The 27,131-nt window shown below is 36.0% G+C and overlaps 1 protein-coding gene across 43 annotated transcripts in view, besides 1 other annotated feature; it reads right to left on the bottom strand.

Moving 5' to 3' along the window:
* The window catches only part of BLTP1 (bridge-like lipid transfer protein family member 1), a 210,422-nt gene that overhangs the window by 43,996 nt on the left and 139,295 nt on the right, over positions 1-27,131 (bottom strand). For 30 of the 43 annotated variants that reach the window (XR_938783.2, XM_047416253.1, XM_047416259.1 and 27 more), the window contains 10 exons: positions 17,360-17,457; positions 13,774-13,959; positions 12,712-12,880; positions 10,597-10,808; positions 9,293-9,491; positions 5,070-5,129; positions 3,069-3,295; positions 2,209-2,409; positions 1,895-2,025; positions 487-610 (listed from right to left, as the gene is read on the bottom strand). Coding sequence is in view for 42 of the 43 variants with exons in the window: in XM_047416253.1 (XP_047272209.1) it covers positions 487-610; positions 1,895-2,025; positions 2,209-2,409; positions 3,069-3,295; positions 5,070-5,129; positions 9,293-9,491; positions 10,597-10,808; positions 12,712-12,880; positions 13,774-13,959; positions 17,360-17,457 (1,607 nt within the window). In the remaining variant the exon portion in view is untranslated. The remainder of the gene's footprint in view (positions 1-486; positions 611-1,894; positions 2,026-2,208; positions 2,410-3,068; positions 3,296-5,069; positions 5,130-9,292; positions 9,492-10,596; positions 10,809-12,711; positions 12,881-13,773; positions 13,960-17,359; positions 17,458-27,131) is intronic. The other 13 variants (XM_047416268.1, XM_005263282.2, XM_017008695.2 and 10 more) reach the window with 1 other exon arrangement.
* Positions 12,446-12,976: an enhancer, noted in NCBI's record as "NANOG hESC enhancer chr4:123226936-123227466 (GRCh37/hg19 assembly coordinates)". NCBI's record gives its function as "activates a minimal SCP1, AML or CMV promoter by ChIP-STARR-seq in naive H9 embryonic stem cells {active_cell/tissue: H9 hESC(naive)}" and the evidence as "EXISTENCE:reporter gene assay evidence [ECO:0000049][PMID:30033119]".

The following is a 27,131-nucleotide window of genomic DNA, read 5'->3' as shown; positions in this document are numbered from 1 at the left end:
ACTCAAACTCTAATGGGACCGACTAAACCTGCAAAAAATAAAGATTATAAAGTGCATTACAATGCACAGTAGCTGACAGGTAAATTCTGACCTGGGAGAATGGGATAGGTGAAGAACAGACATCTTAAAATTTTTCACATTTTTTGCAGAGTTCACATTAGAGACTAAAAAGAAGAGTGATTTCATGAAAAACAGACAAAACACAGTGTCTAAGGGCATAGACTATCGAGTCCTACAACCTAGGTTTGACTATTGTCTTCCCCAGGATTACTAGCTGTATAACTTTGGTCAAATTACTTGACCTGTGTCTCAGTTTCTTCATCGTTAAAATAGGAAAATAACACAAGCTACCTCCTAAGTTTGTTGTTAGGATTTAATGGGTGATTACATGTAACGTGCTTTAGATGGTACCTGGTACGCAGTAGATATGATAGGAAAAAGTCAGGTGGTTTTGTCACCAGCATTGAAAGAAAAAAGAGAACTCACCCGCATACTGGACCTCCGTAATTTTTTACGAACATCTCTTCTAATGTCATTCACAGCCACAGATTCTAACTGTTGGTAACGTTGAATTTCCTGGTTTATGGTTCCTTCACTTGCACCTAATTTTCTGGATGCAAAACAAATATGGCAATTATTGTAAATAAATAACAAAGTAAGACTGATTTTTTACTTGCTCCTTTTTAATTCTTGTCAGAATACCAAAGATGATTATATACAGACAAGCCAAAACCCTCAATAAGCTTAACACTCATATTTGGCGAACTGTTAAGAAAACAAAAAACATCTCTCTCTAATGTTTGAGGAAATGTGTCTTATCCATTGCTGCATCAAGAGTCTCTTTGGCAATCTCATGAAAACCATAGACCCACTCTGCAAAAAAAATGTCTGGATGTAAAATTCTACATATAATATAAGCCTTGGGTACGATTTTGGAGGAAAGGTATATTTTGCTTCAAGTCATTTTTTCCCCTGAGACCAAAACTCAAATTGTAATGTAAGTCAACAGGAAAATGTGAATCACTGCATGATAACTTACAGACAAGTTTCAGACAATACATTTTGCTATACAAAATGCATATAGTTGTGTAAGGTCCTTGATTGTTTAAAAAAAAAAAAAGCACCAGTACAAGTATATGCAGATTAGAAAAGATGAGGCATGACCATTACCTTTTGGGAAAATAAAATTGCGAAGTTTAGCAACAAGAATATTTACTGTAATAGAAGAAGTATTACTTAGTAATATCCAGCAGGCAACAGATAAAGATTAATGGATTTATTTATATATGCCTGTGAAGATACATATAAGAGTAAATACACATGTAAAGATACATATATGTGATATAAACCATCAGTCATAAAGTGCTCAGAAATAAGTTGTGAAAAACACTAGGACACTAGGATTTCATGCCTTTTTTTTTTTTGGAGATGGAGTCTCGCTGTGTCACCCAGGCTGGAGTGCAATGGCGCAATCTTGGCTCACTGCAACCTCCTCCTCCCGGGCTCAAGCGATTCTCCTGCCTCAGCCTCCCGAGTAGCAGGGATTATAGGCATGTACCACCACGCCCAGCTAATTTTTGTATTTTTAGTAGAGACAGGGTTTCACCATGTCACCCAGGCTGGTCTTGAACTCCTGACCTCAGGTGACCCACCTGCCTCGGCCTCCCAAAGTGCTGGGATTACAGGCATCAGCCACCATGCCCAGCCTCATGCCTAACTTTATCACTAATGAGTGTATAATCTTGACCAAATTATTAAACAACTCTGGACCCTGGTGATATCACAGATAAACTAAAGAGTTTGTATTAGACCAAATACAGTTTCTTCCACTTTTAACATCTTATGATTCTAAAATTAGGGAACATTATATTAAATTAAAAATCATTGTACATACTTCAGATCATCTATTACTTTGGCCTGTTCATTCAGTTCTCTGATATCCACTATACGCTTCATAATTTTTCTTCCTCTAAGTTCTCCCGGCTGGCTAGCAGATGCTGCCTGTCTTCGATAATCTGTGGCTTCCTGAAAAGTCAAAAGTGTATCTGTCAATACCACCCTCAAGTCACACAGCAAATCTATACTATCACAAAATTAACACCTTAAATCAAAGCATGCAAGAATCAAAACCATCTATATTAAGGTTGGAATTCTCCATTGATTTAAATCCCTTCAATTTCATAAGGAATCTATTTAGTTGCTACCTACGTTTCCCCATGAGTGTGCTCTGCATGCTTTCAAATGGGACTGGCTAGACTGAGGGGAGCCCCACATCTCTGGGTCACACAGATACTCTGCAGGAACAGAATGGCGCTGATTTGGGGGTGTCAGGCCTAGTAGGTGATTTACAAGTCGCTGCCCAAAGGTGAGTTTGTGGCCATCTCCACTTATTGAACTTCCATCTGAACTCTAAGTAATAAACAGTAATATTAAATTTAAAAAAATTTCTTCCCAAGAACAAAACTATTTCATGGTATAATAGTTAAAAGATATTGAAAATAATTTTTAAAAATCAATACCAGAATGAAATCAAAGAATAAGTTTCTTTTTGCCACAAAATAACTTGAAACTACAGAGTGTATAGTATAGATGAAAATACGTATTTTTAAAATGTATCATTTCATTTTGTATATGCACTTTGCTTTGAAATTCATCTTGAACATCTTTATTGAGATATAACTCACGTACCATAAAACTCACCCATTTAGTATATTCACAAAGTTGTACAACCATCATTAAAATCTTAGTTGGGAATATTTTCATCACTCAGAAACCTCATACCTGTTAGCAATTTCTTCCCATTCCCCACCCTGCCCCACTCCCTACTCATTTCAGTTTTAATATTATTATTTTACCTATAGGTTAAAGCACAAGTTGGATGACAGTCAACATGTAGCACAGAACTCGATTAAAAGACAGTATTATGAAATGTAGACACAGTGAACCACCATTCCCTTCTCTTCCTCCACAAATAGCAACTATAATATACTAAATAACACTGAACAAAAAATATCCCTGTCTCAGGGTAAAAGCCAATCCTGAAAAATTCTAACAGTGAGTTTACTTACAGTATGGATAGTGGGAGACATAGTATCAACTTCATCCTCATCTGACAGGTCAGCTATGTTCACTGAATTTAAGTCAGCAATGTCATCTATGTCTTCCTCTCCTGTCAGTGTTGTAAGAGTATTGCCCAGAGCATTAAGCCTTTTGCCAATGTTAGGATCCATGTGAACATCAATCCCACACATTTTCCACAATACGTTGAGTGTCCAGGTTCCAGCACTACTGCTTTCTGTTTAAATAAAGAAGTTGCATTTTTGTTAAGTCCTGGGTATAGAAATTGAAATAACTTTACAAAGTAATAATGGCCACATATAATAACTAATGTCTTTCACTGCTAAACTTGTCAGAAACATCAGACTACAGGATTGATTTCTCTATGTGTACAGTGTGCATCTACTGTTTCCTCTGTATAGCACCTATTTTCTTTTTCCCTATGAACTACAGGTTCACTCCCTGACCCCAAGTTGATCCACCATCCTATAGCTACAGTAGGAATTGCCATGACCTTAGCTCATTAGACAGAATTAATTAGGTTAATTGGTCCAGGTGAAGGTCAAAGTTGGAAAAATAAGATATTTTGCCTGGACTTGAGGAAAGGTTGGTCGTTCTCTAATGACTGAGGGTGGAGAAACGAGACTCCACTGTGTTTCTTGCCATGTATAAGAAAGAGGTTACAAGTTAGAAGAAGAAGAAAAACAAGTAGCCAAGAGGGGAGCAAAGAAGCAAAGACAAGAGCTACAAAGAGTCTTGGTGACAGTTGGGATCTTGGTTCTAGTAGTTCCTAAGGGCTCCTGAATTGACCTGGTTCCTTCTCTTCCCTGAAATAACCATTCCTAAGTTTAACTGTAGTCTGAAAATATCCTTTTAATAAGCATCCCCTTTTGGTTAATCTAGTCTAAGTGGGTTGTTGTCACTTAAAAGTCCTGACGAAGATTTATTTGTGACCTCAGTTGAAAATTCTCTAACTTTTCCAGTTCTTTGTCAGACTCTAGGCCTTGGTGCTTTCTAAGGTAACTTAGGATGAGCACTAAGGCTAGGCTTGGGGAGGAAAACAGAATGGTAAGGAGAGACTGGCAATCTACTAACCTTAATCAATTTCTACCTCTCTCAACATTTTAAGAGCCCTTAAATAAGTATCTCTGTAGCTCACCCTGTCCCTGTCCAATTTTATAACAAGCAAAACAATAAAAATTTATATTGTGCTATCATCTTAGTCAATTACCACTTTCATAGTTACCTCCTAACTGATTTCCTAGGCTTTTTTGCCCTCTAATCTTTGAAAGTGTTCCTTTGATAGTGTCGTCATTTGCCTTCTTGTTCAGAAACATTCAATGGCTAGCCTACTCACTACCCACCAAATCAAACTCCTTAATTTGGCATTTAACATTTTTCCATCTTTTTTTTTATATAACTCTATTCTAGCTAAATTGGACAAATCTGAATACTGCGCTTTAACATCATGATTCATGTTACATTATTCTCTCTGCCTGAATTTTCCCTGGCCCACATCTCCCAGTTTTTGCTTAAGAAAGATTTATCCTGTCCTTTGAGTGCTTGTTTAAATGTTTGTCCCTCCATGAAGTTTTCTCTGATCCCAGTATTCTCCCATATTTGAAAATATTCTCTTCTTTTTATACATTTCAATAGCAACCGGAATTTTATGTTTTATTGTACATATCACATATTTCAATGTAATTTTGTACATGTGCCTTAACTACATTGTAAAAATTTAAAAGTATGAAGGATAGAAAGTATATCTTATTCATTTTAATCTTTTCTAAAACATCTTGTAGTATATATATATGTATATATTTATATATATATATATAAACACACAGTAGGTGTCTGATTAATAATTGTTAAATAAATACAAATGTTCTAATACAAAATAGTTTTTTTTTAAATTAGTGAACACCAGAATTAGCTTAGCCAAAAGATTCTCTTGCCATTAAAATAAAGGCAGAATTCTATCTAACATAAAATAATGCTGCATGTGAACCTACCAGCTGCTGCTTGTCCTGTAGTTCTTGAACATACTTCATAGGTGCCATCTGGAACTACACCTGTACAAAAATCACCCCAAAAATAGTTTTCAATAAAAATACATTTGTGACTATATATTGTACTCTTTAATTTTTCACACAAGATTATTGTCTAAATACAAAGAGGATTACTATCCTTCCTAGATTTTAGTTCTTAATCTTTGGAATGAAAGGGCTATCTTAATGACTCATAAGATCGATTCTTATTGTGAAATAAAATATTTCACAATATTTTATTCTATGATTTAAATAATTTAACTGCAGTTTTAGCTTTACTTTCTGCATGTGATTTCCTTATTTGAGTGACAACACCTGGCCAACTCTGACACTCTAGATGGCTTATCTACTAATATCCAGGATGCTGTGACAATTTGTTATCATAAATGAATGGCACTTTGAGAATGCAAATGACTTAAAATAGAATTTTGGTAACTAAGAGCTGCCACATTAGGTCAGACACATGATTCATCAGTCTTACCTTCTCTTTTGACATGGAACATTTTATGAGAAAAAAAATGGCTGAAGGCTATGATGTCAATCTCAAGATCATGGACCTATCTCCAGAATATATCTACTTTAACTTTGAAACATTTACTACCAACTGGCTTTAATCTGGTAACTTCAGCTTCAAAAAAGATGTTAATTAAATTCAACAATTTTACATAGTAAAAGTTGAAACAACTTTTAAACAAAGTAAACTCTAAACATAGAATTAAGACCTTCCTCAGTCATCCTTAGAAGAAACTAAATATCAATTTAAACTCCAGAGTACATATATCTTTAATGTCCTTTTGTAATTCACTCTGAGAATCCTAAATTGGTATTCAAATGTTACTTAAATTTGAGCTTACTATTCATATTTTAGGTAATTTGGTATTACATTTCTGTCTTTGAAAAATTTCAAAAGGGAAAAATCTTTCCAACTTAGAAATATTACAACTTAGTTTGTGAGAGAGGATCTACTTGTTATTATGTTTTTTTAAAGACTGCCAATAAGTTTAACATCTAAATTATACCTTTGAACTGTATAGTACCTGTGTCTCACATACAAATTCTAATTAAGAAATAACTAGATTTGATTTTGGAGTATCACCCAATTCACCTTTGTAGTCATGGTTACAAATCTGAACAATAAGACCCACATTACCCTTTCAAATCCAAGAATGCTAGAATGAAAAGAAAACCCTTTGAAATCTGAATAACATAACTGAGGCCAAGTGAAAGGAAGAATTAGTAAATAAAAAGGGAGAAGAAAACTTTTAGGATTTCCTATCCCAAGGAGTAGTAGAGAATTTTTAAAAATTAAGCTTAAAGGCTAGGTGTGGTGGCTCACACCTATAATCCCAGTGCTTTGGGAGGTCAAAGCCACAAGATCACTTGAGGCTAGGAGTTCATGACCAGCCTGGGCAACATAGTGAGACTCCATCTATACAGGAAATTTAAAAATTAGCCAGGTATGGCGGCATGTGCCTGTGGTCCCAGCTACTTGGGGGGCTGAGGCGGGAGGATTGCTTGAGCTCAGTAGTTCAAGGCTGCAGTGAGCTATGATGGCACCACTGCACTCCAGCCTAGGTAACAGAGCAAGATTCTGTCTCTAAAAAGCAACAAAAACATTAAGCTTAAAAGATGAATATATAAACTCATAGAATATAGAGCCACGATGAATTAATAAGGAATATTACGATTTTTAGATGTAGATCTGAATCCTGAAAATGAGGACTAAGAAATCAACTAGTCTCTTCCCCATAATACCTGTGGTTTCTGTATCACAGACAGAATGATGACTTGGAGCAACCATTAGGCTGAATGCAGGATGGTAATTTTTCTGCTCTGATGACCAAAGGCTACCTAGGTTTTACAGAGAGCTTGCAGACATCTAAACTTCTGATGGTTTATTTTGTCTGAATACACATTCATGATATTGTCCTAATATTTACTATCTACTTAAATCGTTCTTTGAACTCTTCCTATAGACTGTCCTTGTTAATTTCTAATGCATTTCTCAATAAACATTATCACCTAGAGAAGAAATTTTACTGGGTCACTTTTTTTTTAGAGTATGTTTTAAAAATGACCTGTTAAAAAAATTCTAAGGCATAATCCTAACATTCCTTATTTCTCTGCCCTATACACATCACCTTTGTTCAAAAATATTGAGGTATACTTATTACTAATAAAAACTATAAGCTAGTAAACTAATTTGTCCATTTTATCATTTGGAAGTTTTATAAATATGTCAGTTACATAACTACTCTGCTTATCTCCTTCTGGCCCCCTCCCAAGAAACCCAAACAATAAGCATGTTACAGAAGCATGTCAGTTAGTCCCCTCTAAAACCCAAAATAAATTATTCTGAGTATCATGATTACCAGCATGTTAGTGTTCTGTATTAACAGAATATATACTGAGGTGCTAAATTATTTGTTCATTTTTTAATGCATGTTTCTGATTCTGAGTCAGAGCGTATTTCTCATTTTATATCTTATGCATTTGCCCTTTAAGATAAACTGTTAAGGAAATGGTTTACTTCCTTTTTTTCCAAATATATTCTACTTATTTTAATAAATACAATGATGGTAAAGCTGTCACCTTAATAAAAATCACTAAGTTTAAATTTATTTTTGTCTTTTATTAAAAAAACAAAAGATATGTTTTAGTGATTTTTAAAAAGCCATGTATAACTATTGTGTAAAATAATAAATCTATAAAGATTTCTGTTGTAGGCTGATACTGGTCTTTTGGATAATAGGCATGAGTATTTCCATATCAAGTCTTCTCAGTAACCTGAAGTATTTCAAATAAGTACTGGTATTTTACCTATAATTATCTAAATGCAAAGTATTTGATGGGGTTTAGTACACACTGCCTTCTAAAATGGCACCTTGTCATATGGAAGGTATTTTAAACTGAAGCAATTTGAGAAGCAGCAGATGCAGGAAGGACTTTGACTTTCTTCTGAAGTAGGTCATATGAACCACATGTGAGAGATGCCCTTCCTATACCCAGAGGAAAGGAGCATCCTCATCTCCAAAGTGGAGGGACACTGAGATGAATCTGAACAAACAGACCTTGGTTAGTTTCCCCCAGTTTACTACGCTTAACTCATACCCCTTTTTATTTTCTCACATTGCTCTACAACTCTCTACTCTTCATCAAACCTAGCATAAAAATACTCAGGTTTAACCATTTCTTTGGATCTTCATTTCCTTATGAAGGCTCCATGTCACAAAAAAACCTCATATTAAATAAACCTGTATGCTTTTCTCTCATTAATTGGTCTTTTATTACACAAGCCCCCCAGCAAATAGCCTAAAAGGGTAGTAGGAAAAGATATTTTTCCTTCCCTACACATTAAAACCAAGACTTTTTCATTTTGAATGCTAAAACTTCAATTTTTGTAAAAATAATAGAAATTTTCTCATTCCTCAAAGAAAATGGGAAGTAGAAAGATTTCCCTCTAGTGGAGAGAGGAAAAAATTACATAAACAATGGGCTACCGCTTTCTAAAAAGTAAGTAATTTAGTTTACAAGATTGAGGAATTTTAGTTCATAACCTTTTAACTCCTTATTTATAATTTTTCTTTATTATTAAGATTAATGATGCTTTACCAACTCTGCTATAATATTTAAAATATAAAAATATATACAAATAAATTCCGTATCTTCAATACGGCCTATAAACACAGCTTTAGTTATACCCAACCTTGAATATTATGGAATTGCAGGAATTCATGTTACACTCTGCACTCCTACAAATTTGAACATGTGGATTTATTCACGTCAATATTAATTAAGGCTGGCGTTCCTGGTCCTGGCTATTTACAACCTGTTCTGTGTTTTATGGTGAGTTGGATATTGCACATTTATCATTTTTTTTCAAGATTCCGACAGGTCAAAAATGCTTTATCTGGTCAAACATGGATCAATTACAGGAAAAATCAGGGACTGTGTAAACATTCAAATGTTATAGTACCAAAAAGAATGCCTGGTTGGTTTACTTACCAAAACTACTCAATGCTGTAGTTTTTCACGAATATGGTTTGTTACCTGTAACTAGAAATAGCCCTTCTTTCTCAAAGTCTAAAAACATTTGCTATATCTAAGCATCTTTTAATTTCACAAATGGAGACTTAATGTTTTATTTTTTAAGTTCTAAACTGTATATAGAAATAAAAGATACTCACAGGCATTCATCACTAAATCCCCATGAATTTCTGGTTTCCAGTCATCCCATGATGTCTCAAATCCATCAGCAAAACGGATACAAAAGTTTTTGAAATGCCCTTTGCTAACCAGAGACTCTGAAGAGCATGCAGTGATGAGAGTACTTTCAATGGTTAATACCAAAGCAGAACCAGTGTCAAGGTCTCCAGTATGATTAGACTGCAAAATATATTAAAGAAGAAATAAGACAAAAGGTGACAATTTTTTAAACTTAGAAATCCTCACAGGATTCATAGGAATAGAAATCTAGAAACGGTCAAGCCTAGATATGTTCATTAAAGAGCAGCTTAGAAAGATGCCTTTTAAAAATTAAATTGCTTAAGTGCAATGTACTTGCCATGTGCATTTTTTTTCTTACTTAACATACAAAGGGCTATCTACATTTCTATCTCAAGCCTCTCTTTTAGTTGTGGGGAGATGATCTCACTATGCCACCCACCTGTGGTGTTTATGGCCTTCCTAGGCAGTGCCCATTATGCTATTAAAAAACTACTATATTTCAGTTCCTGAAACACAAACATACCAATGCCACCCATCCTCAACCTGAAGTTTTTCTTAACACTGTCTTACCGAACAGAATCCTAAAAGATAAATTAATTCAACAACTGGTTACAAGTTATTAAGGTAAATTGTAACAGTAAAATATAGATCTCTATATGCTATTGTTAATAACTGTTGCTTCTTGGCCTGACAGGTGTTCATAGCCTTTTCTCTCTCTCATACACACATGTGCATGCAGTTACATATTCCTGAAAATTGGTCTTAAGTTGCAAAGAGAAAATTCCTGGTTTATGTGCACACTGCTTTGAAGTTTCATTACCATTAAATATTACAGTATAAAAGCATTTTGGAATTCCCTATTCTATTACAGGTTAAGTTCATTAAACAGTATTCTTAAATGTCCTTTTATTTCCATCTTATAAACAAGTCCATACCAATGACTTCCTTGTTAAAAAAGAAAACAATAAAATGATTCTGAAACTAAGCTTCTTTTTATGAAGGTAAAAATTAAGAGTTATCTGGGGGGTATCAATCTTATCACTATTCTGAAGCATATAAGAGTGCTTCAGAGAAAAGTCCCATGAGATTAAGATTTAATACATTGAGATGAGTAATGGTTGAAGGAATTCAATCTTACTTGCTACCTACTAAACAGTTATAAACTGTTACACTGAAAAATGTACTGTTATATTCTAAATACTTAGAAATGGTTATGTAGAAATGCCTGGCTCTTAATCCTGGAATATGACTTGACTTTTTGTACCTGTGCAGTATTTGTGATAGGTAGGCAAATTCCCAGATCATTGACAGTGAGCTGGAGAAAAAGAGTCCCAAAGGCCTGGGCTGATGTTTGCTGGATACCAGGTAGCATATCTACTACTTCCTTTGTAGCCATATGAATATCCTTATGTAAAGCCATTCGTTGTTCATTCCAGTTGTCATAGGCGGCCTTATAATTCAGCCAAAACAGCACAGCTTTTGATAATTAAGACAGGGCAGAAAGAAAATTAAAATCAACACTGTAAATCTATATGTTAAGTAAAACTCAAAAGCTGCAAAATCCTGTTGCTTAATAAAAATTACACCCAGAAAACTGTAGCATTAGAATTAGGAAAGATCTAAGAGGACATATAGTCACCATTTTTTAAATAACAAATGAAAAAATAAAACAGAAAGCAGGCAACCACATAATGGCACAAGGAAGAAGAAAATCCAGGTCTGTTCATTCCCTCTAACTTATTTGTGAAATGCCTATTATATGTTAGATACTGGGATGGAATAACAAATGAAAACAGACATGGTGCTTAACTTCATCTGTAGAGCTGTTACTTCTTTTAAAATTCTTTAAGGTACATAATGCTAGGAACATACCATTAAAAGGATCTGATTTACAGAGAAAAGTCAAAGATGTTTGAGTTTGTTAAACAGAAACAAACCTTAAGGAAAACCTTCATTTCACAGCAGTGTATAGATGGAGGGGCCTCTAAAAAGGACATAAAGATGGAGAGGCCAGAGAAGTAGGAGGAAAAGCAAATGCAGGTTGAGCATCCCTAATCCGAAATCCAAAATCCCAAAACTTTCTGAATGTTGATATGATGCTACAAGTGGAAAATTCCACATCTGAACTCATGTGAGACTGCAGCCAAAATGCTGTCAAAACTTTGTTTCATGCACAAAATTATTTAAAATATTTTATAAAATTATCTTCAGGCTATGTGTATATGGTGTATATGAAACATAAATAAATTTCATGTTTAAACTTGGGTCCCAGCCCCAAGATATCTCATTATGTATACACAAATATACCAAAATCTGAAAAAATCCAAAATCTGAAACACTTCCTGTCCCAATTACTTTGGAAAACCAGTACTCAACCTGTTTTGTGTCAAGGACACCAAGGGTACAAAATACTTTAAGAAGCTGATGAAAGCTGATGAGAGGTCAGTAAAATGAGAACTGAAAAACATGTACATGGGATTCAGCAAAATAAAATGCTATCTGTAACACTGCCAAAAGGGCAATTTTCTAACAGGATTCTGTTACTAGCCTATGTCCATCACTGATGAAGATCTTAAATGGCTTCTTAAATGGCTCCTCATTACTTCTAAAATACAGTTCAAATATATTTGCCCAATCCACATTAATTAGACCTTGTCTACCTGTTCAGCCTTCTTTCCCATTATTTTCTTCTATGAAACCTACTGCTATATTTTCTTAGACTTATGTGTTTAAACACATTCATTCTTATTCTCTCTTACTCAATGTTTATTTCGTTCTTATTGTATGCCAGGGACTGTTCTAGGCCCTGGGATATAAAAGTAAATTTCATTTCCTTATCTCCCTGGTGAACTCCTAATTCAAAGTCAAATCAAGAATTAGTTTCTCCTCTAAGAAGCATAGGCAAAGGTAGAGAATTCCTCAGAACCAAGAACACATCTCTGACTCCACTGTGTAGTCTACTTTGTTTTCTTTTCCACTGGACTGACAGGTCCTTGAGGGCAGGGATACTGTTGTTTATTTTTGTATTCCACTTCTAGGCAGTACCTGATAAATGTTTATAGAATATAAAAATAAACACAGTGCCAAAACACAAATGGGTGCATTAATTATCAAAACAAAAAAAATCAGCATTACAATTACATAATCTGAAGCAGACACTCTTATGTTATCCAGCCAGAAGACAAAATAACTTTAAAATGTAAAATAACTTTTAAAAACTGAAGGCAAAAAGCAAGATTTTTTTTTTGGATACACACATTTCAGATTTAGGAACCATTTAGCTGTCAAGCATTTACACCAGTAAACTACAAGATTCTTATCTAGCATTAACAAAGCATTCCTAGATCCCAGAGGATAGTAGTGATTGACTTTATCTTACCTCTATCAAAGGCCACAGGCTGTGCATAAACAATTGGTCTATTCAAAGTAATAAGCACAGCTTCCCTATCTGAAGAACCACTGATTTCTTCTCGGAGGGCATTTCTTAATCCAATTCTGGTTTTAAAATAGGCAACTTGATGAAAATCAGAACCAGCTTCCTCATAAACCTAAAATAAAATTTAAAGCTCAATAAAATAAAATAATGGAAAAAGTTTTAATATGAAACTAAACATTATTAATGGTATTGTTCACCAAAAAAACTATAATACATTTTTCTCAAATTCAGCTGTTAATGTATATTCCTTATACTCTGTACCATAAACACTTGAAATTAATATACAAAATAGCCATGCAAGAAGTAAATATGAAGTCATAGATAAACTTTATATAAAAGTTAGGATGAGGTCCATATTCTAAATGGCAATGTATTAAATATTTCAGAATAATTAGAACCTCTAAGAGATGACAAGAAATTTTTGTTCATTTTTTCCTCGTATCTTTAATGCAGCGATTCAGTTTTGAAACTGTGACTGGCATTTTTCTACTTGGTTCTTCAAAGAGGAAAAAAGATTAAAATCTACATAATAATTTTTGGCAAAATAAAAACAAAAAAAATCTCCAATAAGCTGTGAACATTCATTTTTATAAAATAGAGAATCTAACTGCTGTTTTTTAACTTTATTTAACATTACTATATGCAGAACTTGCTAATATTCTACAGGAAAGGTATACACTTAACATTTTAAGAACTGAGTAATGTTAGCACAAGACTTTGAAATAAAAAATGTTTAGCAAAATAAAAAAAATTACAAGCAAATGATTACGAAGATACTGGATTAAGTTTTATGTGAGTGCATCTGCACTAAACTATAACAATATGCGGCTACAATTTTCAATGAAATGCCAAGGTAAATGAGTTTTCACTGAATTTATAATCAGAAACTTTAGGAAATTAAACTAAATATTTTTGTAAATATAATAATACATAAGTTACAGTAGTTAAAATTGATGTGCAAAATTTAAAAGCCATCGTTCTAACATCAACATATTCTGTACTCACCTGATGTTTGACAATTTGTCCTAATGCCAGATTTAAATCCACCTGGCATTTGCCAAACAGTTTCAGATAGCTGCTACTTCCTGGTGAAGCTTTGGTTTGAAGTCGGTTAGAAAGTTCCAGTTCAATCAATCCAGTTTCAAATCTTACAGCTCTCATTGATGGAGTAGTGGCCGTTACTTGAATACCCTAGCAGATTATATGTTAGGAGGAAAAAAATGAATCTTAAATCAACAACATATACCTACTCAAATGTAGTCTTTCAGTATATGATAAATAAAATAGTCGTGTTTTAAACCATGAACAGGCATACCTTGGAGATAATATGGGTTTGGTTCCAGACCATTGTAATAAAGTGGGTCACACAAATTTTTTTGTTTTCCAGTGCATATAAAAGGTTATACTACAGTCCATTAAATGTGTAATACCATTATGTCTAAAAAACATTGTACATGCCTTAATTTAAAAAATACTTTGGCTGGGCGTGGTGGCTCACGCCTGTAATCTCACCACATTGGGAGGCTGAGGCAGGCAGATCACTTGAGGTCATGAGGTCGAGACCACCCTGGCCAACATGGTGAAACCCTATCTCTACTAAAAATACAAAATTAGATGGGCATGGTGGTGTGTGCCTGTAATCCCAGCTACTCAGTAGGCTGAGGCAGGAGAATAGCTTGAACCAGGGAGTCGGAGGTTGCAGTGAGCCGAGATCATGCAACTGCACTCCAGCCTGAGACAGAGCAAGACTCTGTCTCAAAAACAAAACAAAACTTTATTGCTAAAAAATGCCAACAATCATCTGAGCTTTTAGTGGGTTGTAATCTTTTTGCTAGTGGAGGGTCTTGCCTTGATGTTGATGGCTGCTGACTGATCATGGTAGTGGTTGTTGAAGTCTGGGGTGACTGTGGCAGTTTCTTCAAATAAAATGACAATGAGGTTTGTGTCACTGATTGACTCTTCCTTTCATGAAAGACTTCTCTGTAGCATATGATGCTGTTTGATAGCATTTTACCCACAGCAGAACCTCTTCCAAAGTTACAGTCAATCCTTTCCATACCTTGCCACTGCTTCATCAACTAAGTTTATGGAACATTCTAAATCCTTTGTCATTTCAACAGTGTTTACAGCATCTTCACCAGGAGTAGATTCTATCTGAAGATAGAATTTCTTTGCTCATTCATAAGAAGGAACTCTTCACCCATTCAAGTTTTATCATAAGATTGCAGCAATTCAGTCCCATCTTCACGCTCCACATTTAATTCTAGTTCCCTTGCTATTTCCACCCTGTCTGCATTTACTTCCTCTACTGAAGTGTCTTGAGTCCCTCAAAGTAATCCATGAGAGTTGGAACCGACTTCTTCCAAAGTCCTAGTAATGTTGATATTAGCACCTCCTCTCATGAATCAAAGTGTTCTCTCTTCCAGAAGGTTTTCAATTTACTTTGCCCAGATCCATCTGAGGAATCACTATCTATGAAAACTGTAGCCTTACAAAATGTATTTCTTAAATCATACACTTGAAAGTTGAAATTACTCAATTCATGAGCTGCAGAAGAAATGTGTTAGGCATAAAAACGTTAATTTCCTTGTAAATTTTCACCAGAGCTCTTAGGTGACCAGGTGCATTGTCAGTGAGCAGTAATATTTTTAAAGGACTCTTTGTTCTGAGCAGTAGACCCATAGCGGGCTTAAAATATTCAGTGAACCATGTTGTAAAAAGATGTGCTGTCATCAAGACTTTGTTGTTCCACTGATAGAGCATAGGCAGAGATTTAGCGTAATTCTTAAAGGCCCTAGGATTTTCAGAATGGTAAATGAGCACTGGCTTCCACTTAAAGTCACCAGCTGCATTTGACCCTAACAAGAGTCAGCCTGTCCTTTGAAGCCAGGCATTGATTTCTCTCTAGCTGTGAAAGTCCTAGCTAGCATCTTTTTCCCATAGAAGGCTACATGGAAAAATCTGTCGTTTAGCGTAACCACCTTCATCAATTATTCTAGCTTGATCCTCAGTTTGCACTTTTATGTTATGAAGACAGGTTCTTTCCTTAAACATTATGAACCAATCTCTGCTAGCTTCCAAGTTTTCTTTTGCAGCTTCCTCACCTCTCCCAGCCTTCATAGAATTGAAGAAAATTAGGGCATTGCTCTGGATTAGGCTTTAGCTTAGGGGAATGTTGTGGCTGGTCTATCCACACCATTCAAACTTTCTCCATATCTGCAATAAGGCTGTTTGGCTTTCTTATCATTCCTGTGTTCACTGGAGTAGCACTTTTAATTTCGTTTAAGAACTTCACCTTTGCATTCACAACTTGGCTAACTGGCGCAAGAGACCTAGCTTTCAGCCTGTCTTGGCTTTTGACATATCTTCCTCACCAAGCTTAATCGTTTCTAGCTTTTGATTGAAAGTGAGAGATGTGCAACAACATTTAACGATTTAGTTTGCTATCCTACATTGGTGCAGCTCCTGGCGCCCCTAAACAATTCCCGCAGCAACATCAAAGATTTCTGATCACAGAGCATTATAACAGACATATAATACTAATGAAAAAGTTTGAAATATTGTGAGAATTAGTAAAATATGACACACAGAAAGTGAATATATGCTATTGGAAAAATGGCACCTTCAATTCATAAAAAAACCTCAATACCTGTGAAACACAATAAAGCGAAGTGCAATAAAACAAGGTATGCCTGTATAGGATATGTCTAATGAACTGATAAAACTGGCAACGTTAATTTCTCGTGTTAGTAGCAATTTTTTCCCATTATGTTTCATTTTGATATTTTATATTTAAAATTTAGTATTCAATGGATTGAATACATTAAATACAATTAAATAACTTTTATGAACACCAGTATCTTAAATATTGGAAATATTAAGTTTTCTATTAAAATAATATAGTCTTTGTTTGTTTTTTAAGACAGGTCTCACTCTGTTGCCCAGGCTCAAATGCAGTGGCACAACCACAGCTCACTGTAGCCTTGAACTTCCAGACTGAAGCAATCCTCCTGCTTTAGCCTCCGAAGTAACTGAGACTACAGGTGTGTGCCACCCACCTGGCTAATTTTTTTGTTTTTTCAAATTTTTTGTAGAGACAAAGTCTCGCTATGTTGCCAGAGCTAGTCTCAAACTCCTGGGCTCAAGCAATCCTCCTGCATCAGCCTTCTAAAAGTAATATAGTTAACTGGAAAAGTGCATAAAATATTTCTTGCAGAGTAAATTATAACAGCAGTACTTGAAGAAAAACAAAATGTTCGTCAGAAGGGAGTGGCTGAATAAATTGTTACAACTGTACAACATACAATACAGATGTTCAAGAAGATAAAACTAATCTAAATATTCTAATATGGAAAGGTATCCAATTATTTTTCAAATGTATAAATATATGCATATATAAAAATACTAACAGGAAAAAAGTCCTAAAGAATATTCAAATAATTATTGTTAAAGCTTTTTCTCTGAGTAGATGGAGTTATAGATCATTTTTATTTTCTGTTTGGTAATTTATGTAAGATACAAATTTTCTATAACAAGCATATATTAATTGATTAGAAAAATTTTTATAAAAGTATCATTATATTTATGTTACCTTGAACTGCAAGTTTAGGGAATAGAGGAGAATTTTAGGTTTATCTCCATCTGCTGTTCCATCATGTTCGTTCCAGAGAGGAATAGGCTGCTCCCCACCTAAAGGAAAGAAGAGTTCGGGACAATTTTTTTTTTTAAAGAAAAAAAATAACTATTTTGTGCATTAAAAAAAAATCCTCACAAAATATTTTCTTTTTACTGACCACTGATACAGAGATCTTTAGCTAAGTTACATTTAACTGAGACAGATATATGAAAGATAGGGATAATTCTGCATATGTAGACATTTATTAATAACATTTTATATTCAATTAAAACACTGTATATATTATTGAACCAAAACATGTGTTTATACATCTCAGAAAACACATTTGAGGGAAAAAAGTAAACTGGACTAATTTCTTCAACTAATAATGTGAATTCTGTTGCAGAGCCCCTGGTGGTGAAGTTACTATTAAGAGAGCATTTTTTTTTTTTTTTGCCTGGGCAATGTGGCATACAGAAAATAATGTTCTAATATCTTAATATCTTACTTCTGTTTCCACTTCTCTTTCCATTGATTTGAAAACATTCTGCCTGCCTATCTTTCAAATATTCTTTCTTACAATGATTAATCTTTTTGTACATATGTTGAGTTGATCATCATCCCAGGGAGTCTGTATAGGTGGGATGGAATGTTTTCTTCCCCTATTAGGGACCACAGATATTATCAAAATAACTAAGAACCAAATAGATAAAAAGCAGATTTTGTTTGTTTTGAAGGAGAAATTAATCTTTTTTGGGCTTTTGAAATTTAGGGGTCAAAAATCTATTTAGTTAGTACTATGATAAAAATATTTTTTAGTTTTCTACTAGAACAGAAAATAGGAAGAAAATAGAGGCAACAGTCAACAGAAGGTACATCCAAGATAAGACCAAGAAAAGAGAGACAAGGACATAACTTGGCCCCCCAAAAAAGACCTTTGTACATAAAGATGAATAAATACACCAGAAAGGGAATGAAAGAATGATATGGATGAAGAGATGGAAAGTAAAGTATTAAGGATTTGTGGATTGGTTATACCAGAACATATTAATTAACATATATTTGGGCCAGGCACGGTGGCTCATGCCTTAATCCCAGCACTTTGGGAGGCTAAGATGGGTGGATGACCTGAGGTCAGGAGTTCGGGACTAGCCTGGCCAACATGGAGAAACCCCATCTCTACTAAAAATAAAAAAAATTAGCTGGGTGTGCTGGTGGGCACCTGTAATCCCAGCTACTCGAGAGGCTGTGGCAGGAGAATCACTTGAACCCAGGAGGAGGCAGAAGTTGCAGTGAGCCGAGATGGCACCACTACATTCCAGCCTGGATGACAGAGACTGACTCAAAAACAAAATAAAAAAATATATATTTGTATTTTGGAAGAATAAACTATATGTGTCTTTGTAGATTATATGTGTCTTTGTACACTTAGTGCCTGCCTGTACGCTTGTACCTTTCCTCTCTGAGCTATCCTTCTCTAAAATATACAGCATACAGATTACATTTTCTTTTCTTCAACTTATAATTAAGTACTTCTCTCTGCCTCCTAACTCAAATCTACAATCATCCCTTACCTAAGCCTCATCATTGATAACCCTACCTACAGCCATATACATACATACATATATGTATGTGTGTATTTGTGTGTATATAATATCACCCCCCCAACCCAGCTATCAACTACCTCTTCCCATCCCTGTTGTCTCTATCTTCCATCTACTACCAGGAAAGCTTCCACTGTCTTACATTATGCTTTTCATTTCCCTGATTCTCTAACTTCATTTGCATATGGCTTTTTGTTGCCATTATTATTTGGAAATCTCAAATTCATTCATTCCTTTGATCCAGCAGCAGATGGTGTTTAGCTTACTTTTCAATGCTATTTCCAAAACATTAAACTACTACTGTCTCTGCTTTTCATCATTTGAATTCCAAACCACAGCCCTCTTACACATCCCTGTTCCTTGAGCTCACTTTCCTTAAATGACTTTATCCCCTCACTTACATTCTGTTCTTATTTATTTTTTACTCCTAAGTAGTTATGTGTAAATTCTAATACCTAATATTTGCTTACTGAGTGCATATATTTATCAATTCTAATACCTAATATTTGAGTGCTTACTGAGTGCCAAGTGCTCTTCTAAGTTCTTTATCACATTTTGTTTATTCAAACTCTTTCTGATACACCCTTATCAGCATTTGGTCCTTCCTTCCTACATGATGTTTGCCAAAAAATACACATTTCTGTATATTAATTTATCTACACAGCAATTTCCCTAATTAAATAATTCTTAAGGGGAAGGGCCATATATATGTGGATCCTAGCAAGCAGTACCTTAGCTGACCCTCAGTCTTTTCCTGAACGCAAGTATAAAGCACCTGTGTTGCTTGGTGATCCAACTCTTCATCTTCTGTCATTTCTCCAACACACTCCTCACAACAATTACTGCAAGTCTTTATAATTTTCCTCATACTCCCACAATTCTTATCTCATTCTCAGCAAATAAATGTGTCTTTCAGTCCCAGTTTCTTGCTATTTTCTTTCATCAAACTGTCCCTCTCTTGAAAGGCGCTCAATCATCAAAAAGTAGAACTTACTCAAGTATCAGTTCGAATCATTCCTATGCCTCAATACATCCTCTATTTATACTACTTAACTTCTTCATTCATCAAAAATTCATTTAAATCTTTTTATTATTATATGTTTAAATACCTAATGTTCCAAACAGAAGTAAGTAAAATTTTTACCCACATATCTTTGTAATTTGCTTATCACCTAGTTTGGGGTCATATGTTTTTAAAGTTCTGAATAAGTAACTATGGAATGGATTATAGAATCTTCTTTTATATTTTCTAAGATACGGTTGCAATTTCTACTCTGAAATACAGAATGAGTTATGTTATAGAGAGGAAAATATTACATGAAATAATGTCTACATTTTGAGGATTTGTTAGAATACTGCCACAAAAAATTGTTTATGACTCTATGTATATCTTGACACTTTCTAACAGGATGGGTGAAATTAAGCTAAGAGAGTTCTTAGTTTCTCTTGGCTCTATAGGCAAGAGCATGGTGCAGGTTATTTAGGAATCATCATGAGATACAACAAACACAACACAATAGGTGATCAAATAAAAACTACATGATTCTGATTTTGAAAGTTAGCTGTCTTATCTATTTATTCAATTAAATAATAAATAGTATTTTATCTAAGTAATAAGAATCAAAACAAATCTGAAGAAAATATGAATCTACTATTATGATCTATCTATGTATCTAATATTGGCTACTCTTGTCTTTTCTTTTTCTTCAACCTTTTATTTTAAGTTCTGTAGGATATGCACATTTGTTACATAGGTAAATGTCTGCCATGGTGGTTTGCTGCACACATCAACCCATCACCTAGGTATGAAGCCCAGTATCCATTAGCTATTCTTCCTGATGCCCTCCCTCCTGCTGTCCCTGCTGACAGGTCCCAGTGTGTGTTGTTCCCCTCCCTGTGTTCATGTGTTCTCATTGTTCAGCTCCCACTGATAAGTGAGAACATGCAGTGTTTGCTTTTCTGTTCCTGCATTAGTATGCTGGGGATAACGGCTTCCAGCTCCATCAATATCCCTGCAAAGGACATGATCTCATTCCTTTTTGTGGCTGCACAGCATTCCATGGTGTATATATACCACATTTTCTTTATCCAGTCTATCATTGATGGGCATTTAGGTTGATTCCATGTCTTTGCTATTGTGAATAGTGCTGCAATGAACATACGCATGCATGTATCTTTACAATAGAATGATTTATGTTCCTTTGGGTATATACCCAGTAATGGGATTGCTGGGCAAAATGGTATTTTTGCTTCCAGATTTTTTAGGAATTGCCCCAACACTGTCTTCTACAATGGTTGAACTAATTTACGCTCCCACCAACAATGTGAAAGCATTCCTTTTTCTCTGCAACTTCGCCAGCATCTGTTGTTTCTTGACTTTTTAATAATAGCCATCCTGACTGGTGTGAGATAGTATCTAATTGTGGTTTTGATTTGCATTTCTCTGATGATCAGTGATGCTGAGCTTTTTTCATACGTTTGTTGGCCACGTGAATGTCTTCTTTTGAGAAGTGTCTGTTCATGTCCTTTGCCCACTTTTTAATGAGCTTTTTTTTCTTGTAAATTTAAATTACTTGTAGACTCTGGATATTACATCTGTCAGATGGGTAGATTTAAAAAAATTTTCCCCATTCTGTCTGTTTACTCTGATGGTAGTTTCTTTTGCTGTGCAGAAGCAGCTCTTTAGTTTAATTAGATCCCATTTATCAATTTTTGCTTTTGTTGCAATTGCTTTTGGAGTTTGCATCATGAAATCTTTGCTGGTGCCTATGTCCTAAATGGTATTGTCTAGATTTTCTTCTAGGGTTTTTATAGTTTTGGGTTTTACATTTAAGTCTTTAATCCATCTTGAGTTAATTTTTGTATAAGGTGTAAAGAAGAGGTCCAGTTTAAATTTTCTGCATATGGCTAACCAATTTTCTCAGCACCATTTATTAAACAGGGAACCCTTTTTCCCCATTGTTTGTTTTTTGTCAAGTTTGTCAAAGATCAGATGGTTGTAGGTGTGTGGTCTTATTTCTGAGTTCTCTATTCTGTTTCATTGGCCTATGTGTCTGTTTTTGTACCAGTACAATGCTGTGTTAGTTACTGTAGCCTTGTAGTATAGTTTGAAGTCAGGTAGTGTGATGCCTCCAACTTTTTTCTTTTTGCTTAGGATTGTCTTGGCTATTTGGGCTCTTTTTGGTTCCATGTGAATTTTAAAATAGTTTTTTCTAATGTTGTAAAGAATGCCAATGGTAGTTTAATGGGAATAACATTGAATCTATAAATTACTTTGGGCAGTATGGCCATTTTCACAATATTGACTCTTCCTATCCATGTGCATGAAATGTTTTTCCATTTGTTTGTGTCCTCTCTGATTTCCTTGAGCAGTGCTTTGTAGTTCTCCTTGAAGAGGTCCATCACTTCCATTGTTAGCTGTATTCCTAGGTATTTTATTCTCTTTGAAGTGATTGTGAATGGGAGTTCATTCATGATTTGGGTCTCTTCTTGCCTGTTATTGGTGTATAGGAATGCTAGCAATTTTTGCACATTGCACAACTTTGCTGAAGTTGCTTATCAGCTTAAGAAGCTTTTGGGCTGAGATGATGGGGTTTTCCAAATATAGGATCCTATCATCTGCAAACAAAGATAATTTGACTTCTCTTCCTATTTGTATACACTTTCTTTCTCTTGCCGGACTGCCCTGGCCAGAACTTCCAATACTATGTTGAATAAGAGTGGTGAAAGAGAGGGCATTCTTGTCTTGTGCCAGTTTTCAAGGGGAATGCTTCCAGCTTTTGCACATTCAGTACGATATTAGCTGTGGGTTTGTCATATATATCTTATTATTTTGAGGTATGTATCTTCAATACCTAGTTTATTGAGAGTTTTTAACATGAAGGGATGTTGAGTTTTATCAAAGGCCTTTTATGCATCTATTGAGATAATCATGTGGTTTTTGTCTTTAGTTCTGTTTCTGTGATGAGTTGCATTTATTGATTTGAACCAACCTTGCATCCTGGGGATGAAGCCCACTTGATTGTGGTGGATAAGCTTTTTGATATGCTTCTGGATTCGGTTTGTCAGTATTTTTTTGAGGATTTTTGCATCAATGTTGAACAGGGATATTGGCCTGAAGTTTTCTTTTTTTGTCGTATCTATGTCAGGTTTAGGTATGAGGATGATAGTGGCCTTATAAAATGAGTTAGGGAGGAGTCCCTCCTTTTCATTTTTTTGGAATAGTTTCAATAGAAATGGTACAAGCTCTTCTTTGTACATCTGGCCAGATGTGAAATTCTAGGTTGGAAATGTTTTTCTTTAAGGATGTTGAATATTGGCCCCCAATGTTTTCTGGCTTGTAGGGTTTCCACTGAGAGGTCTGCTATTAGGCTGATGGGTTTCCCATTGTAAGTGACCTGGCCTTTCTCGCTGGCTGCCCTTAACTTTTTTTCTTTCATTTCAGCCTTGGATAATCTGATGATTATGTGTCTTGGGGTTGATCTTCTCGTGGAGTGTCTTACTGGGGTTCTCTGCATTTCCTGAATTCGAATGTTGGCCTGTCTTGCTCAGTTGGGGAAGTTCTCCTGGATGATATCCTGAAGTATGTTTTCCAAGTTGGTTCCATTCTCCCCATCTCTTTCAGGTACCCCAATCAGTCATAGGTTTGGTCTTTTTAAATAATCTCATAGTTCTCAGAGGTTTTGTTTGTTCCTTTTCTTTTTTCTCTATTCTTTTCTGCCTGTCTTATTTCAGAAAGACAGTCTTCAAGCTCTGAGATTCTTTCCTCCACTTGGTCTATTGTGCTGTTGATACTTGTGAGTGCATTGTGAAGTTCTCCTGCTGTGTTTTTCAGCTCCAACAGGTCAGTTATGTTCCTCTTTAAAATGGCTATTTTGGTTATCAGCTCCTGTATGTTTTGTCACGATCCTCAGCTTCTTTCCATTGGGTTAGAACATGTTCTTTTAGCTCAGCTAAGTTTATTATTACCCACCTTCTGAAGCCTACTTCTGTCAATTCAGCCATCTTAGCCTCAGCCCAGTCCTGCGCCCTTGCTGGAGAGGTGTTGCAGTCATCTGGGAGAGAACAGACACTCTGGCTTTTTGAGTTTTCAGCATTTTTGGATTGATTTTTTTTCTCATCTTTGCGGGCATATCTACCTTCAATCTTTGAGTTTGCTGACCTCTGAATGGGGTTGTTGTGGGGCTTTTTGGTTGATGTTGCTGTTTTCTGTTTATTTTTCTTTTTACAGTGGGGCCACTCTTCTGTAGGGCTGCTGCAGTTTGCTGGGGGTCCCCTCCAGACTCTAGTGTTCTGAGTTCCTCCTGCACCAGGTTCCTCCTGCACCAGGTATCAGTGAAGGCTGTGAAACAGCAAAGATGACAGCCTGCCCCTTCCTCTGGGGCCTCTGCCCCAGGTACCGACCTAATGCTGGACCGAACACTCCTACAGGAGGTGTCTGGAGACCCCTGTTGGGAGGTCTCATCCAGTTGGGCAGAATGGGGTCAAGGACCTGCTTAAAGAAGCAGTCTGGCTGCCCCTTGGCAGAGCAGGTGTGCTGTCCTGGGGGAAACGCCCCTCATCCAGACCACCGGGACTCTCCAGAGCCAGCAGGCTGAAAAGGCTAAGTCAGCTGAACTGCAGAGATGGCAGCGCCCCACCCCCCAGGGAGAGATCAGAGTTCTGTGAGTTCTGTATGTATAACTCTGGTTGGAGTTGCTGAAATTCCTGCAGGGAGGCCCTGCCCAGTGAGGAGGGATGGACCGGAGTCCCACTTAAAGAAATAGTCTGGCCACAATCTGGCATAGTGGAGTCCCACTTAAAGAAGCAGTCTGGCCACAATCTGGCATAGCAGCTGTGCTGTCTTGTAGGGAACTCCTCCCAGTCTGGACTGCCCGGACTCCCTGGAGCAGGCAGGCTAGACCTGCTGACTTGAACTGCAGAGATGGCAGCTCTCCCAGGGGCCGTCTCAGGCAGTCTCCAGCCTTCTGCTGTTGGCCGGCTGGAATTCCAAGCCAGTGGTTCTTAACTTGTGAGTTGCCCTGGGAGTGGGGTCTATAAAATGACACTGCTTGAATCCCTGGATTCAGCCTCCTTCCTAGGGGAATGCATGGATGGATTTCCTGCCTTGCTGGAATTCCCAGGGCCAGAGTATGCAAAACTCCTGTGTCTCTGTGCGTGCCCGAGTGGCTGCTTCACCGAGACTCCACACAGCTCTGTGCTTCGGACCCAAGGCCCTGGTGGTAGGACTCACAAGGGGAATCTCCTGATCCACAGGTTGCAAAGATCTGTGGGAAAAACCTGGTTTTCCCTGGCAGGGTCACACAGTCACACATAGCCTCCCTTGCCTGGGGGTGGGGGCTCCCTGGCTTTTTGCTGCTCCTGGGTGGGCCATCACCTCACCCTGCTTTTCCTTGCCCTCCGTGGTGGAGCTGTCTGCCTAGTCCCTCCCAAAGCAAGAAACTGAATACGTCAGTTGAAAGTGCTGAATTCACTCACCATTTTCATTCCTCTGTGTGAGAGTCCTGGACTACAGCTGCTTCTACCGTCCTACTTTTGTGTCAATCAAGTTTTATTTCATAGTATAAATATGGCCCACTGTCCTACTTTTGTGTCAATCAAGTTTTATTTCATAGTATGGCATAAATATATAAGTTTAAGTGCATCATATCCTCTATACTTGATTAAGCTATTAACTTGCTTAAATTATTTTGAAATTATAGCTAGCCTCATATTTTTCTGAAAAGTATTAGCATGACTTAAGAAGTGTTATTAAGGAGGTTATTTCCTAAGGGAGACTAGACTAAGTAAAAAACATCAGATTTTTTTTTTTGGATTAGCCTTTGGGGTATCAGTTCCTTGAGGCTCCTTTCCAACCCTTCTTTAAGTTAGGTACCCCAATTTTCCTGTGTTTGGAGACCTCTCCTGATACCCATGATTTACTGAAGTACATTCTCAGAGGTACCAAGAGGACCTCCATTAGTTCTTTTAAATAACTTCGATGTGTCTCATTTGGACCTGTAGATTTATATACAAGTTGGTTGGATAGGCTTATTGTTTCTCTAGTTATTCTCATAACCAGGCAAATATCTCATCAATTTCCATTTTCTTAATATTCATGCTTTTTAATTATCCTTTTCACTTGGTTAAAAGCAGATTCTTTTTCAATTTTCACTTACTTAAGTAGAGCGAAATCTTCATGTTATATTACCTAACAGTATACTTCGTTAACATACTATTTTCTTCTGACAGTCTAAATGTAAGCCTTTCACTTTTTCATATTCTCTTAAATCATTTTGCTAAACAAATACATGTTTTAACATATCTGAAATAATCTTAGATTTTTACATTGCTTAGCACACTTTCACTTTGAATATTGTAATACTAATACTCTAAATGTCTAGAGCTTTGTGAATATTCACATCTGTCTAATTTTTCTTATACTCAAGTTGTTTTACAAAAAAAATAATGGCTTTGTGTCTGTTCATTTGATAATCCATCTCTGAAGATAAAACTGTTTGATGGGCTGGGCACAGTGGCTCACGCCTGTAATCCCAGCACTTTGGAAGCCAAGGCACGCAGATCACAAGGTCAAGAGATCAAGACCATCCTGGCCAACATGGTGAAACCCCGTCTCTACTAAAAATACAAAAAATAGCTGGGTGTGGTGGTGCATGCCTGTAGTCCCAGCTACTTGGGAGGCTGAGGCAGGAGAATCGCCTGAACCCGGGAGGTAGAGGTTGAAGTGAGCTGAGATCGCGCCATTGCACTCCAGCCTGGCGACAAAGTGCGACTCCATCTCAAAAAAAAAAAAAAAAAAAAAAACTGTTTGATGCATGAGCACACCTTAAAGGCCTATTTGTTTTGTTTGCCTATCACAACCTTGAATACCTTTTATCTAGTTTCAGAAAGAAAAGTTTAAAATTTAAAAGCAAAAGCTCAACCATTCACAAAACATACTAAACAATAATTTTAGCTTATGGAACCATAAGAGACGCTATTATATTATTTGCATTAATTCCATAGTATTTTATGTCTTTATCAACAAATATATACCTGGCCCAATTCTAAGATGGTAACCTCCTTATATGCTTCTAAGATGGCTGTACATTAAAAATAGTCTATTCTGTTTACTTGATCAGTGCTTACTTACATCTTTCTGAAAC

The sequence above is a fragment of the Homo sapiens genome, chromosome 4 (genome assembly GCF_000001405.40).
Source record: "Homo sapiens chromosome 4, GRCh38.p14 Primary Assembly".
Classification (NCBI taxonomy): domain Eukaryota; kingdom Metazoa; phylum Chordata; class Mammalia; order Primates; family Hominidae; genus Homo; species Homo sapiens.
Note: the sequence above shows the minus strand (reverse complement) of the source record. Positions and strands in the feature narration are given on the sequence as shown.